We start from the raw sequence: 16,921 nt of genomic DNA, 5'->3' as shown, positions 1-16,921 counted from the left end.
CATTCACTGTCATGAGACCAGCATGGGGGAAACTGCCCCCATGATCCAATCATCTCCCATGAGGACCCTCCCTCGACACATAGGGATCACAATTCAAGATGAGATTTGGATGGAGACATGGAGCTAAACCACACCAAAAAGTGTGCTTTTATATCAAACTACATTAAGAATCATAGACCTGCTAATGCCCTGAGGCATTATCAGCCAACTGTGAGTTGGCTGACCAGGGCAGGGCTCAGCTTTACAAGGTCTTCTGATTTTAACTGTTTTTTCATGAAACTGAGGTCACCTAGGGGTCATCTGCTCCAGGTTGGGTTTAGATGTACCATTTTTCTCCACACTGCAGGTCTGTGAGTTCTAGTCCACTCTCCATGTATGTCATCCTCCTTGGATTAGCAGATCAGCAGGGCATGCTCTTATCATAGTGATGTCAAAAGCACAAGGCAATACACAGAATTACATGAGACTCTTAAGACTTAGATTCAGAAAAGCACACGGTCATGGATGACTACATACCGTTAGTTAAAGCAAGCCACATGGTCAACCTCCAAGTCGAGAGGCTGAGAATGATACTACACTCATGCTAAGACCATGCCAAGGGTAAAAAGTCATAATTCAGGTTTAGCTCAGTGGCCAGTGTCAGGGAGCATTCAGTCTATAGAATTCTAAATTACATACAAATGTATGTCTCTTAAAGCAGCAGTCTCCAACCTTTTTGGCACCAGGGACCAGTTTCGTGGAAGACCATTTTTCCATATATTTGGGGTGGGCATGGTTTGGGGATGATTTACAGGCATAACGTTTATTGTGCACCTTATTTCTACTGTTATTACATTGTAATATATAATGGAATAATTATACAACTCACCATAATGTAGGAACAGTGGGAGCCCTGAGCTTGTTTTCCTGCAACTAGGTGGACCCATCTGGGGGTGATGGCAGAAGGTGACAGATCATCAGGCATTAGATACTCATAAGGAGCATGCAACCTAGCTCACTCATATGTGCAGTTCACAATACAGTTCATGCTCTTATGAGATCTAGTGCCACTGCTGATCTGACAGGAGGTGGAGCTCAGGCACTAATCCAAGTGACGGGGAGCATATGTAAATAGAAATGAAGCCTTGCTCATTCCTCTGTTTGCTCACCTCTGGCTGGGCTGCCCAGTTGCTTACAGGCCATGGACCATTACCTTATGTCACTTAAAGCAGCAGTCTCCAATCTTTTTGGCACCAGAGAACAGTTTCGTGGAAGACAATTTTTCCCTATAATGGGGGTGGGAGATGGTTTTGGGATGATTTATGGACATTACATTTATTGTGTACTTTATTTCTACTGGTCAGTGGACTGGGGTTTAGGGACCCCTGATTTAAAGAACTGCGTTAATCACAAAAACACACATATAATTAATCTTGAATAAAAATAGAAGACACTTATTTAGCATAAATATAAAATGTTATAATTACTGTGGTGCAGGAAATGTTAAAAATACTAAGCAATGGTTTTCAAAACAAGTAAAGATTAATAATAGATTCAACCAAATGTGTGAGAAATTTTTAATTTGAAAAAATGTAGTTGTCAAAAGTAAGTATAATTCAGTAACATGTTTGCTTCTATGTTTTTGAAAACTAGATAGTATGCAACTTTCAGAATTCTAGTTTTTAAATGTGGAGATTAAATTAGACTGATAACACTTCTTAATGAAAGGTAGCTCAGCATCAGAGTGTCTGAAAGGATATCTGTTTGATTGCAGATATCAGCCATTGTTAGACTTTTTTCCAAATATTTCCATTAGCTGCTAATGAAGAGACCAAAATGCTTGCAGGGTAAAATGAAGTCACCGTAGAAATATTTGATTAATTGCTACATTTTTAACCTCTAATGGCCACAGTAAGCATTAAGTTTGTGTTATGAGTTGGCAATTCATTATTTTTTTCCATAAACTTTTATGTAAAATTGTATTTGAAAGAAATATCTGAGGCCAGGCATGATGGCTCATGCCCATAATCCCAGAAATATTGGAGGCTGAGATGGGAGGATTGCTTCAGCCTAGGAGTTTGCGACATAGTGGGAACTTGTCTCTGTAAGAAAAAAATAAAATAAATTTATAAAAGAAAATAATTCCTATAAAAAGAAAATGTTCCATAGTATTCCATTATATTGGTGGCAATCCATATTACTTATCATTGTCTTCGTCCCTACTGTTAATGTTCTGTTGAATGTTCTGTTCATCAGGGCCTGGTTCCAACATGAAAGCATCAATTTCAGTGTTCGAACAAGTACAAAAACATCTCGATGAAGACATGCTTACATATTCCCAAGCACATTGCATTTTATCTGCAGCATGAATGACCGTCATTACAATAATATCATTTTTATTACACAATATATTAAATTTAACTTAAACACAAAACTTCTTCAAAAGTTATCCTGCTCTACCACCAACAAAATCAAAAGCAATAGTAATATTTAAAATACCAATTTATAATTTTTTAAATGTTATTTAAATAATTGTGTGTGAATTAAGATATATGATAAAGGAAGACAATTCATGGGACTGTATATGTATTTACAGATAAATAGCACATGAAATTATACGCTTGCCTTTCTCATACTTGTGTGCATACCGTTTATTGCAATATGTGTATTTATATTTATATTTAAATGTAACTAGACTTACATTTCAAGTTACAACCCAAGTTGCTGTGAGTTTCAAAAACTCAAGGATTGGTACCAAGATAACCCAAAGGTAAATATTGCTGTATCTGAAGATAAAAATTGCTTTTTCTTTTTCTTACTTTTACAGTCCTTAGTAGGCATTGGGAATATTTTTTTGTATGCCCATTACATTTTGGCTTCTATTCATTTTATTATCCTAAAACAACATGACATAATATGTATGAAAGTGCTTTTTAAGTTACAAATTTTAAAATGAAGGAAAATTGTTGTTTTTAAAAAAGGAAGAATTAGTGATGGGTACAATAGTACTTATCTCCAGAAAATATAAGATTTTTATCAATGATTTAAAAGTATGAACTCTCTCACAATTTGTTAGCCCTTTTTTTCTGTAACCAAATAGCACATTTCTCTCTCAATGATAGGCCGACTTACTCAATAGTCTCATCATAAATTCAAATATTTCAATATACCAATAAATTTTGCCCTTCTTCTAATTCAATAATGATGCTTTTTAAAGGAGTCCTGGGATAAAACAGAGTGTATCAAGTTTACCTCTTGCTTTGTGTTTGGGTCATAGCTCTTGTGGTGCTCAAAACAAGAATTCACATCTACTGGGGTAGAGTGTTGGGACCATCAACTACACTGAACTGCCACTTAGTGATGTCCCTGTTGTCAGTGTACAGAATTTCCACTGCTGCAGATCACTGCTTTTCCATTTGTCTTCTCTTTCCCTCTCACATAAGCACTAAGGAATGAACAATATCTCATAAACTCTTCAATAAGTATCTTATATGCATTGGAGTTAAAAAAATATAGCATTTGTCACTCTTTTTTCTAAGTTAATTTTAGACCTGGATTCAACACACTTAGAAAAAAGAAAGCTGTAGATTTTTAGCTTGCGTTATCAAAGAAGAAAAACAAATCAAAACAAGGGGATAGTTACACTGAATATATTCTACTGTTATGCTTGAAAACGAGGCTTTATATGCTTTCCTTATGGAAAAATCCTATGGTATCAATGTAGGGTAAAGACCTGTCATGTACTCAAACTCACAGGTTTATTCTCAAGCTAACCTAACACCAGTCTTCCACTCATTTTTCTTGAGTTTACAAACACCTATTACCTGATTGAGAACTCATTTATTTTATTATATTTTATTGCTAAGTGCATAAGTTGTTACCAGTCTTTATGATAAGGAGTGTTGTTACCATGAAGCAAATTGTGGATCAACTAAACAGAGGATATCAAGAAAGATTTCTACATAAGATGATCATTCTTAAGGCCAATGGATAGACACAGAATCTGGCAATGTGGGCATTGCTTTTGTTTGTCGATTGTTGTTTTATTTTATATAGGTGTTTAACCACAATAGCATGTGTTTGTCATTATATTTGGTAATAGGATTCCACCTTCAGCTTGAGTTGAGAAAACAAGGGTGTAGAATTGATTTTCTTCACTCCCTCACTATGATTATGTTGCATTTTGCTAGCACCCAGATGATGATAAGGAGATGGATAGAAATAGCAAGAAGAAAGGAGTTGAAGGATAAAAGTTACTGGGTATGATAGAAATGTGCCTGGAGAGAGAGGTAGAATTAATATTGATAGGAAGGCTGCAGGGCTGCTTTTTCTCCTTTAATTGTCCTTGTCAAATTTGCCCTGTTCTAACTTATGAAAAGAAAAATAGCATGTTAATATGTATGTCTTATCTTATCCATGCTAAAGACCCCAGAGCCTTGTCTAGTACCTCAGGCTTCTAGCTCTATCCCAACTCTCCATTGCATGTTAAGTACAAGATTAAATCTGAGAGGAAAGAAAACAATATTGATAGGTCAGGCAATTCTTTCAATAAAACTGCATGCTGCTCAGACATTTTATGATAGCTTAATTGGCTCATTACAATCACATCTTCTCCGATTCAAAATTCAGGAATGGAATAGTCAATATTATATTTACACTTTATGTCATTAGAAAACACATTAACTGTAAATTGGAAAAAACCTACCAGAAGAATCTGTGATAATATTATGAAATATGGAAAAAAATAAACATCTGACCCATATCATTAGAAGATAATTACAGACAATACCACCTGCTTTTGATATTTCTACTTTAAGACCTCTTTCAAAAACACATAAACAAAATGAAACAAAAAAAGTGAAAGAAATGGTAAAAGATCTGATGAATCTAAAACAAAATAAAACCTGCATCTATAGCTTGGTTTTCACTTTTGCTGTTAACATTCAGATTATTTCTGTTGTTTCATTACCAGCTGGAAGAAAAATTTTATGGCTGGTTAATGCTAAAAGATTTATTTATACATTGCTCTTGCTTATATTTCTGTGCATAGGACTCTTCATTGTCAACAAAATTTTGACTCCGGAACCTATAATGTGGGTCTGGGTTCGGGCCTGTGTGAGTGATGATGAAGCCATTTGAAAAACATTATTCACAGGTCGCTAAGTGAATGGATGGACCAAAGATGGATGTTGTACATCATGTTCATGGTGATAGTTGCATCCTTCAGCTTTCAATTCTGAGTGCACATCTGGTTGAAGCTCTAATGCTTTTACATTTTTTATTCATTTTCTGAGATAATGTATCCTATAACTTCTCCATTTTCACAGGCTCTTTAAGAAGACATACAGTTACTTTAACTGAGATTTTTATTCAAAGATTCTCAGCGCCACCTACAAAACCACAAGCACCAAAGTTTCATCCCTGCCTCATGTGTCAAACTCTAGTGATTTTAATTATCTATATCACTTTCTTTCTAACTCATGCTGTGTCCACATTGCACTTACCTATGACCTAGCTTGTCCATGTAGTTTGAAACTACATAGAGAGGTGCATGGCAGAATTTAGTCATTTAGTCCATTTACACTGGTTTGTTTTATTTAAAGTCTTTTTTAATGCATTGGAAGAGTTTATTTCAATAAAATATTCAAATATATATGCGTACATATATATCTGGCTATTATTTGATGAACATCTTAATTGTAATACTGATGCAAATTGCATTAATTACAATTACAGTTAAAAGTTAAAATTAAAATTGTAGCTCATGACTAACACATAAGCAGTGAAATAGATTTATTTTTTAAATAGAATAAGAAATCCAAACATGTACAGGTATGAACACTTCACAGTTAAATAAGTTTAAGCAATAAGCTATACGAGGAATAATGTATATTATTGGTGAAAAATAAGTAATGTATTTGATTTACTGCAACTTAGTAGTTGGTGTTTGGGACTATGTATATATATATATATATATATATATATATATATTTTTTTTTTTTTTTTTTTTAAACAGAGTCTTACTCTGTCGTCCAGGCAGGAGTCACAGCACAAGCTGGAGTGCAGCAGTGCAATCTCGGCTCATTGAAACCTCTGCCTCCTGGGTTCATGCACTTCTCCTGCCTCAGCCTCCTGAGTAGTTGGAATTACAGCCGCACACCACCACGCCCAGCTAATTTTTGTATTTTTAGTAGACATGGGGTTTCACTATGTTGGCCAGGTTGGTCTCGAACTCCTGACCTCAGGTGATCCACCCACCTCGATCTCCCAAAGTGCTGGGATTACAGGCGAAAGCCAACTTTTCTGGCAGGGAAACTATATTTCTTGAAAACTGCTGAAAGAAACAGAAGTTCCTCGTGAGTTAATCTATCAATCTATGTAAAGAGTAATTTTTAAAAATGTATTTCACTTTTACTTGACTTATTATCTTTTTGGACTTTCTACTGAGGCTAAAGTTTTATGAATTATTTGGCTCCAAGTAGACAGTTTTCTGCTACATACCATTGATTGTTTATATATAAGGAGACTAGCTTTAAATCCACATCTTTATCTTCATATCCATCAATGGTGAATTGGTTAATGTTTGTAAGATGTTCGTTTATTACATTATCGTCAGTTAATTTCACACTAACAGCAATACTACTCAATTTATTACTGTCATTTCAGGCAATGATCTACAGATGTGTTGACCTGTGAAAGAGCATGTAAAAACATGTAAAATGGTAAGATTGCAAGAAATGGAGGGTCATAGCAGTATTGTTAGGTGAACTTTGCCCTGGATTTTCTTTTCATTTTACCTTCTATGGCTCAAGTCCCAGTCCATATCTGGTAAAATATTTAGAGACAATCATTGACAACAAAACTGTTATTACTTGTAAGGAAAGATGTCCCAAGTCGTAATAGTAGTTTGAATATCTGCACAATCTCCAAGAGATGTTAACCATCCCTGTAACATTGCCTTTATACCATCATAATTTCATTCTGTCATTGAATCTATTTATTTAGGTTTATCTCTAAGTTTTCACTTCTTGAGAGCCTAGATTCTTTGAATTAGTTCACTTGGTCTAGAGAAAAGAGAAACTAACTGCTCTAGATAGAGAGCATTGTCTTAAGTCTATTAAAGTTGAGTATAATGGTTTATAATCAAAATCAACTATAGCAAAACATAAACCAGAAGCCTGTTATAAGCAGTGCAATTTAGAAAGTAATTGACAATCAACGATAATTGATTCACACAAATGATGGGTATGAAAAGTGGACAATATAGTAAGTATAAGCTTACTGTCTAATTTATTGATTTGTTTACGTAATAATCATAATCAAAAATCAGATTTCCAAATATAAAGCATATATAAAAAATAGATAAATACTATACTTGCTTACTTCAAAAATGTTTACCAAATGTACTTTTGCAAGATTTTTAACAAAAAGTACTTTCTATTACATAATCATAAATGTATTCATGTATGAAAACATGATTTACTTTTATGGGTTTTACGCACTAGCATTCTGAATTATACTTATTGCATTTTGTTTTACTAGTAAGTACCATTTGATAAATTATTAAACTGGTGCAAAGGTAATTACAGTTTTTGCATTAAAAGTGATGAAAGAAACCACAACTACTTTTGCACCAACCTACATTAACCAATTTTAGAGTTGCAATCTGTGGCTGGTGAATACATTTTTTCTCTTTGTGAAGTTTACTATGAGAGAAGTGTTTCCTTCAATTTGTCCATATTGGCAATATTCTTTTAACCAATTTCCTAATGCCCCAAATTCCCAAACTTGTATCATTTCTGCATTGGACATAATTTGCTTTGGAAAATGTTGGGCTATTATAAGTAATACGCCTAGGTTAAAAACAGATTGCCTCAAAAAGTGTTTTCAGTTACTTCCTTCTACTGTTATTCAAAAAAAATTGCTGCAAAATCAGTGGCTTAAACTTGAACAATACAAATTTATTTTCTTACAGTTTTGGAGATCAGAAATCTGAAATGAGTATCATGGGCTAACATTAAAATGCTGACAGGGCTTCATTCCATCTGGAGACTCCAGAGAAGAATCCATTCCCTTCCCTTTTCCAGCTGTTAGAACCCAAACTTTCTATTTTAAGGTAATTTTAACTTAATCTTCCTATCTTGAGGTCAACTGATTATCAACCTTCTTCAACCTTAATTTTTCTTTGCTATGTAATCTAACATATGCACAGGTAGTGGGAATTAGAACATGGGACACTTTTGAGTGGCCATGATTGTGCCTTCCAAAGTGGTCATAATGTATACAATTCAGTTGTGAATGATAGAAATATGTTTTTCTAGAGAACTTGAATTGTAATGGTACTTAAAAGTGACGGGGCATTGATAAAACCATTCTTCACTATAATGAAGTATATACATGCATGCAAACGCACACACATATATATGTATATTCTCACTTGAAAATACAGATAGATATCATGATAATCTCAAATTTCAAATATAGCCAGGCAACAAAAATTTAACACATTTTAAAGAAATGTTAAAAGTTATAAAAATAGACACTAAACTTAATAGAAAATTAACTTCAACTCTATTGAGTTGTTCAAAAAAGTAGAAGATAATTTATAAATTACTACAATAATACAAAGCTTTCAAAAATATGAATTTATTTTAAAATAACATCTATAAAAGTAAACCCACAAATTGATAAAATAGTTTTAAGAAAAATCTCAATATAAGTAGCTAACATAGAGGGTAACAACACACACTGGGGAGACGCTCGAGGGTGAAGGCTGGGAAGAGGGAGAAGATCGGGAAAAATCAACAATGGGTACTAGGCTGAATACCCGGGTGATGAAATGATCTGTACAACAAACCCCCGTGACACAAGTTTACTTATGTAACAGACCTGCACATTTACTCCCGAACTTACAAAATAAATTAAAAAAAAAAAGTAAAAATAAATAGCAAAAATGCATAACAAAAACTTAAAAAATGAATGCTTGGTGAATTTAAAGATTGGATTCATGCATTCTGTTGGATATCCATTCCAAAGAAAAAAGACAAGAAATCTATGCGAGTAAAGTTAAGAAATGTGGATGAAAACCTAAAACAGTCAGTGTTCATCTAATAGGTGTTAAAGGAGATAACTGAGAATAGGGCAAAAGTAGGATGATATGAAAAATCTTATTTATTTAAAAAACAAAAAGGTTTACATCTTAGAAAATGAAGGAATCCAAATAATAGCAAGCCTAATTTTATGACTCTGCGTAAATACATTCTAAATTTCATAATTTCAGGAATAAGAGATAATATTGATGTTATCAGAGGAAAAGTGAAAAACAAGCACATATCACCTACAACAATGAAATGATTAGTTTGACATTTGTTTTTCGCTATCACTAATGGAGTTAAAGGACAATAAAAGAATGCCTTCAACAGTACAATTGTTTTTAATTTAACAATATTTACCGGTTACATTTTTAGATGTGTGATTATTTAGAGTTGTAAAACTTGTGATGATTCAGTAGTCATGTGACTACTAAGAAATAACTTATTGAAGGTACACTGGAAAAACAAGCAAACAACATAATCAATCAAATGAACAAAGAAATGTAATTTTGAGAATGAAAATCGTCATATAAAGTACTTTTGAGCAAGAAACAAATACAACTTATATGTTTAAAGATAATTGGTAATATAACTGTAAAGTTTTAAAAATGGTAAGAAATATTTTCTTAAAAAATGTAGAGAAATAAATAAAAGATAGTTTTAATTTTATCTACTGGATTAAAATTACAAGTCATATAGAAGCAACCATCAAACATGAAAAAATGCTCAACACCACTAATCATCAGAGAAATGTAATTCAAAACCACAGTAAGATAACCATCTCATACCAGTCAGAATGGCTCCTATTAAAAAGTCAAATAACAGCACATGCTGCTAAGGCTCTAGAGAAAAGGGAACCCTTACCCGCTGTTGACAGGAATGTAAATTAGTTCAGTTCCTGTGGAAAGCAGCTTGAAGATTTCTCAAATAACTCAAACAGAACTGCCGTTGGGCCCAGCAATCCCATTCCTGAGTATACATCCAAAAGAAAAAGACACATGCACCCATATGTTCATCACAGCACTATTCACAATAGCAAAGACATGGAATCAACCTAGGTGCCCAACGGTGGTGGATTGGATAAAGAAAATGTAGTTCATATATACTATGAAATACTATGCAGCCATAAGAAAGACAAAATCATGTCTTTGCAGCAACATAGATGCAGCTAGAGGCCATTATTTTAAGCGAATTAACACAGGAACAGAAAATCAAATATCACATGTTCTCACTTATAAGTGGGAGCTAAACATGGGATGCTCATGGATATAAAAATAGCAAGAATAGACACTGGGGACTACTAGCCTGGGAGGGAAAGAGATGGGAAAGGGTTGAAAAAGTACCTATTTGGTACTATGATCACTACCTGGTTGATAGGATCATTTGAACTCCAAACCTCAGCATCATGCAATATATCCTTGTAAGAAACCTGTGCGTGTATTCCCTGAATATAAAATAAAAGTTAAAATATATTTTATTTTTAAGAAAAATCAAAAAGAATTACAGGTCATTTCAACAAAATTTTTAAGATGATGAGGGAGAAGTTAAATACCACAAAAACATTGATTAGTTTGGTCCAAGATAGGAAATGTGTATGTAAACTCTCTCTCTCTATATACACATATATATTTATATAGGATATTTATATTTATATGTCATATAGATATTTGGTAGAGACAAAATATCTGTCTATTAATCTAAATGTCAATATATATTAATGATGTTGAGGCAGTCATTTGAATAATGGATCAACAGCCTCAATTCAAATAATCAATGGAATAGTTTTGAAATTGGACTATGAATATTCTCATTTGTTTTTGTCCTACTTTCTGGTCTTGGAGAGCAAGTTTTTTGTTCTTGTAATAAACAGGCATGCATGAATAAAATACTCACATATAATGGATTATACAGAGTTGTTTGTGTGTGTGTGTGTATGTGTTTTCATTCTCATACAATTCCAAGTGTCAATGGTTTGCAGCCTGGTTTTAAATCTTTCTTTCACTGAAATTCACAAGGTAGAGAGAATATCATAGATGTGTTAAGGGTCTGTGCTTCAAATCTATTTTTTAAATGTTATCCAAATAAAGTAAAATTCAGGATTAAAATAAGGTGGGAAATATGACTATTTGTGTTGTGTAATAGTCTACATACTGCCTTATGTGATTGTGTGGGCAGATGTCTCATGGCATTTTCTGGACCCTGTAGCTCTCTTACTTTAATGAATATTTTGAACCTTTGTTTACTTTCCGGTATTAGAAAAATATTCATGTTTGTCTAGAAAAGTGAAATATTGCCATGTAATGTTAGAGGATTCACAATTCCATTACAACCAAATTGAGCTGTATTTTAGAAAGAATGAAACCTCTTTGTAGGAGAACATGCACAATTAATGGAGATCAATAAAATTAAAAAAAAAATACAAAACCTCTCAAACCAGATCTCCTCCTTAAATTTTGTGTTTTGACCTGGCACAATGAGAAAGGCAAGCCAAACATGAGGAAATTACAAATGACTCTTTTGGTTACTCCACATTTCAGAAGATGACTTTTAATTTGCATGTTAAGAGACAATTGATTAGTACATATGCCTTAATTTGTAAGGAGAAACAGTATATTTAATGTGGAAAGGTACCAGGCAGAGTGAAAAAAGATCTGGAAGGTAAACATGGCTCTGCAACTATTTAGCTTTGTACTGTGGGTTATTTAATCCCTTTAGACAGCAGTTCCCCATGTGACATACTAGAGGGTTAGGCCTTAATCACCCTCAGCAACCTTGTTAGGTTAGCTCTGTCTCTCACATGAATACTTAAATGACTATACCAGCTTTTCTCATTTCTCTTTTAATTATTGTTTCACATTTGCATTTTCAATGGTTTCATTTATCTGATTTTTTGTAACCCTTTATGCTGATTTATTTGAGAACTTAAAAATTTCAGGAATAGTACAAGAAACTCCGGTATCATTTATCTGGATCCACCTATTATTGATATCTTGCATCGTTTAATCATTCTCTCCCCCCGCACCTTGTGTGTGTGTGTGTGTGTGTGTGGGGTGTGTCTCTCTCTGTCTCTTCCTCCCTCTCCCATGTATGTATTTGTATGCATGTGTGCACGTTTTTTCTGAAACATTTGAGAATAATTTGGAGATGGTTTCTTTTAACAGAACAAGAGTATTCTGTTACAGAGCTATAACATAGCTACCAAAATCGGAAAATTTAACCTTGATATAATATTATCATTTAATTCACAGCCATGTTCAAATTTCATCAACTGCCACAATAATGTAATTTATAGCTGTTTTCTACCACGCTTCCCTCCACCCCAGTGAAGTCCAGGATCCAATCCAGGATCATTCACAACATTTGATATCATGCATTTTTAGCTTCCTTTCATCTGAAAGAATTCTTTAGTTTTTCTTATGTTAACATTGAAATATTTTAGGACAATAAGGTAGTTACTGTGAGACTGTTTAATTGACATATTTGCTGAAATGATGTTGTATCATTCCTAGGGTATATCAGGAATGATGTTTCATATATGGACAATGATTTGTCCATATATCATGGACAAATGATGTTGATTTGTCTCAATATGGATGAGATTCCCCTGCACACTTGGGTACAGTGATATCCCCAGGTTTTAGTATTACAAAGTTAATATTTTTCCTTTGTAATTAAGAAGTGCTATGTGAAGGAAATTGTATCATCTGGTGATAAATTTCTTATTCTGTCTGTCCTATTTTTATTAGGTACTTCTTTTCCATTTTATCATACTATTTATTCATTCATTTATGCCAGTGTAAATTCAAGATTTCTTATTTTATTCAAAGATAAAATATAACTATCAATAAATTTTGATGCTGAATTTGTTCTGTATTTGGCCAATGAGGACCTCTTCAAACTAGCATCGATGTCACTTTGACATGTTCGTATCATGCTGTTGAGTATTTTCTTGGTTTCTGTCAACAAGATATTTTAAGTTTATCTTATATGTTTGGTGTAATAGCCTTGAAATCATTAATTTCTCAAAAGAGATAGAATATATTCAATTAAATAATTTTATTTAGAAGGCACATTATGGATCTCATTTTGTCAAGGCACTCTCAGGGCACACAAGATGAGTTCACACTGATATATTAATTTTCTTTTTTTAACTTTGAGCTCTGGGACACATGTGCAGGATGTGCAGTTTTGCTACATAGTAAATGTGAGCCATGGTTGTTTGCTGCACATATCATCCCATCACCTACCTATTAAGGCCAGCATCCATTAGCTATTTTTCCTGATGTTCTCCCTCCTCCTCTGCCACCCTCTGACAGGCCCCAGTGTGTGTTGTAGGCCCCAGTGTGTGCTGTTTCCCCCACATGTGTCCATGTACTCTCATCATTCAGCTTCCACTTACAAGTGGAACATTCAGTATTTGGTTTTCTCTACCTCGGTTAGTTTACTGAAGGTAAATTGCCTCCAGCTCCATCCATGTCCCTGCAAAGGACATGATCTTGTAACATTTTATGGCTGCAGAATATTCCATGTTGTGTATGTACCACATTTTCTTATATTAACTTCCAAACAAACGACACAGGATATTAGAAAGTCTTTACCCCTCTCTGTATATGCCATATCTGTAAGCCCTCTCTTCAACAATGAGAAATTTTTCTCCTCTTATTCTCAATATGTTTACTCATTTGATCATGCAAATTTTTTTTTTGGTGGGGGGAAGGAAAATTCCCATTTGTCCTTTTGTGAAAAGACTTTTACAGGCTTTTGTGGCTCTTTTTATTTTTATTTTTATTTTTATTTATTTTTTTTTTTTTGAGACGGAGTCTCGCTCTGAGTTTAAGTGTCTTCCATATAATTTGGAGCTAGATCCTTTATCAAATTTATGGTTTACAAATATTGGTTTCCCCCAGTCCATGGCTTAATTTGTTATTAACAGTGTCTATTGATAAGCAGACGATTTTAATTTTGACAAAGTTTAACTTCTCTTTTGCAGATAGATATAGTTTTTTCATATTCTAAGATATAGTTTTAGAATATAGTTTAGAAATATAACTATAGAAATATATTCTATATAACTAACTATAGAAATATATTCTATATAAATATAGAAATATATTCTATATAACTATAGAAATATATTCTATATATTATAGAAATTATATAACTATAGAATATAGTTTGAGTATAGTTTCGAAAGATATAGTTTTAGAATTTAGTTTAGAATATAGTTTCATATTCTAAGATATAGTTTTTTCATATTCTAAGACATATTTACTACCCCAGATCATGAAGATATTCTCCAATATTGATTCAAGAAGCATTATTGTTTTAGATTTTATTGTAGATATAAGATTAAGGTTAAATTAATTTTTGTGATTCATATGAGGTAGAAATTAGGGTTCTTTTTTTATGTATATATCCCTCATATCTATTTCTACCCCTAGAACACTTCTGACAAGGCATATGTGGGTTTTTCACACCAAACTATCCTTCAGTCCTCTGAGGGCAACAAATGGACGCCCTGAAATTTAATTCATTTCTGATGCTAACTATCCAGAGTTAATTCAGAGCTCACTGGTTAAGAACTCAGTCCTACAAGACTGCCCCCAATTCAGCCACCAGTCTTAACTATGGGGTGCTCTGGGCAAAGACACTTCTGTCAGACCTGGCTACAATCCTGGGGCTCTCACAACCCGATCTTTACATTCAATTATTGCTATAATGGTACACATAACTTATGGAAACACTTTTCTTATGTTTACTGACTTATTTTAAAAGATATCGTAAAGAATATAAATTAACAGCCAAACAAGGAGGTACACAGGGTGAGGTCCAGGGGAATCCTGAGCACACGAGCTATTGTCATGTGGAACTGTGGTGTGCCACCCTTCCAGCATGCGGCTATGCTCACCAACCTGAAACTTCTGTGAACTCTGCAGTTTAGAGATCTCTGTCGAGGCTTCATCATATAGGCATTATGAATGATCAAACTTAATCTCCAGGTGTTCCATCCCCGGAGGAAGAGAGTCCAGGCTAAACATTCCAAGCTTCAACTGTGGTTTGTTCTTTCAGTAAATAGCCCCCATCCTCAAGCTATCTAGAAGCTCCCCAAGAGTTAATTCATTAGAATATCATATAGGCATAATTATTTAAACCATCGGCCATTGGAAATTAACTCAGCTTCTAGCTTCTCTCTTCTCCTGGTAAAGGGGTGGAGAAAATTTTAACCCTCTAATCACATGATTGGTGCCTCTGGCAACCATTCCATATCCTGAAGCTCTCTAGGGGTCCACCACCAGTCACTTCATTAATATCATCTCGGGTAACATTGAAAGATGTTTATTAGTGATATGGGAGTGCTGGGAAGGGAAGAGTGTGGTCCCTTTAAATGATACAGAAAGTGGGCAGGGAAGTGCTGAGTAGAGAAAGGCAGGTCCCTGGCTAGGGTTCCACCCCCATGGAACTAGGTGAGGACAGGCACTCCTGCTTTCATGCCCAAATGTTGCATTTTCCAAGACCACCCTGGCCTGCCACGCCCCCATCCTGGGCCTGTAAAAACCCGAGACCCTACCCTAACCGACAGACACACAAGCGGCTGGAGGTCATGAGGGACACATCAGCGGAAGAATACGCAAGCGGCTGGTCATTGAGAGGACGTCGAGAGGAGCATGCCAGCAGAAGAGCACACCAGCAGGCACCAGCATGCCAGCAGGCCATCAACTGGCGGCACAAGGCGGATTTTGGCCAGAGCAGTGGGAGGAGAGCCTCAGCTGCCAAGCGGCCCAACTCAAGGGGAAAACCATCTCCCTTCTGGCTCCCCCTTTGGCTGAGAGCTACCTCCACTCAGTAAAACTTGGCACTCATTCTTCCAGGCCACGTGTGATCCGATTCTTCTGGTACACCAAGGCAAGAACCCAGGATACAGAAAACCCTCTGACCTTGGGACAAGGTAGATGGCCTAATTGAGCTAGCTGGTTAACACAAGCTGCCGATAGATGGCAAACTAAAAGAGCACCCTGTAACACACACCCAGTGGGGCTTCAGGAGCTGTCAACATTCACCCCTAGACACCGCCGTGAGGTCGGAGCCCCATAATCTGCCCTTCTGTATGCTCCCCTGGAGATTTGAGCAGCAGGAGCGCTGAAGAAGCAAGCCACACCCCCATCGCATGCCTGGTGAGGGGGACAAGGGGGACAAGGGAACTTTTCCCGTTTCATTAGGGATAACAAAAATGCTTTTGTTCCTTTTACTGCTTAAGAAATCACAAGAATGTTAGAACCTGTGTATCAGAAACCAGAGACGAAGACCAAATATTTCTTATTATATCACAATATCATAGATATATACTTTTTCTTACACCTCTTGTTACATTGTTAAATTTAACATTTGTTTTTAAATTTAACAATTGCCCACTGTTGGTTGTTAAGTGTTTTTTCTACTGACTTTCTCTGGCACCTCATTCCACACCCAAATGAACATATAAGAATGAGTCAAGTCATGAATTTCTAATCTGTTCCATTAAACTTAATATTTATATACCAATTCAATACTGTCTAGATTTCTGAAGGTTTGTGGAGTGGTTTGAAGTTAAATTGTATATATCCTTCTACTTTGTTCTTCTTATCCAAGCCAGCATTTACTACTCTGGATATTTCACATTTACATCTACATTTTAAGGTCTATTTGCAATTCATATATTTTTTAAAGCCTTCTGGAATTATAATGAAATTGCTTTGAATCAATAAATCAATTTGGTGAGAACTGACATCTTAACAATATTGAGTTTTCTAATTTTTGACATTATTACAGTTTTCCATTTATTTCATATATGTTTTTCTTAAGCTACTGTGCTT

At 34.7% G+C, this 16,921-nt stretch overlaps 2 annotated features.

Moving 5' to 3' along the window:
• Nucleotides 15,193–15,692: an enhancer, noted in NCBI's record as "H3K4me1 hESC enhancer chr3:103911379-103911878 (GRCh37/hg19 assembly coordinates)". NCBI's record gives its function as "activates a minimal SCP1, AML or CMV promoter by ChIP-STARR-seq in naive H9 embryonic stem cells {active_cell/tissue: H9 hESC(naive)}" and the evidence as "EXISTENCE:reporter gene assay evidence [ECO:0000049][PMID:30033119]".
• Nucleotides 15,693–16,194: an enhancer, noted in NCBI's record as "H3K4me1 hESC enhancer chr3:103910877-103911378 (GRCh37/hg19 assembly coordinates)". NCBI's record gives its function as "activates a minimal SCP1, AML or CMV promoter by ChIP-STARR-seq in naive H9 embryonic stem cells {active_cell/tissue: H9 hESC(naive)}" and the evidence as "EXISTENCE:reporter gene assay evidence [ECO:0000049][PMID:30033119]".

This window comes from Homo sapiens, chromosome 3 (assembly GCF_000001405.40).
Source record: "Homo sapiens chromosome 3, GRCh38.p14 Primary Assembly".
NCBI classification, from domain to species: domain Eukaryota; kingdom Metazoa; phylum Chordata; class Mammalia; order Primates; family Hominidae; genus Homo; species Homo sapiens.
The sequence above is the reverse complement of the archived record's forward strand: the minus strand, read 5'-3'. Positions and strand labels throughout refer to the sequence as shown.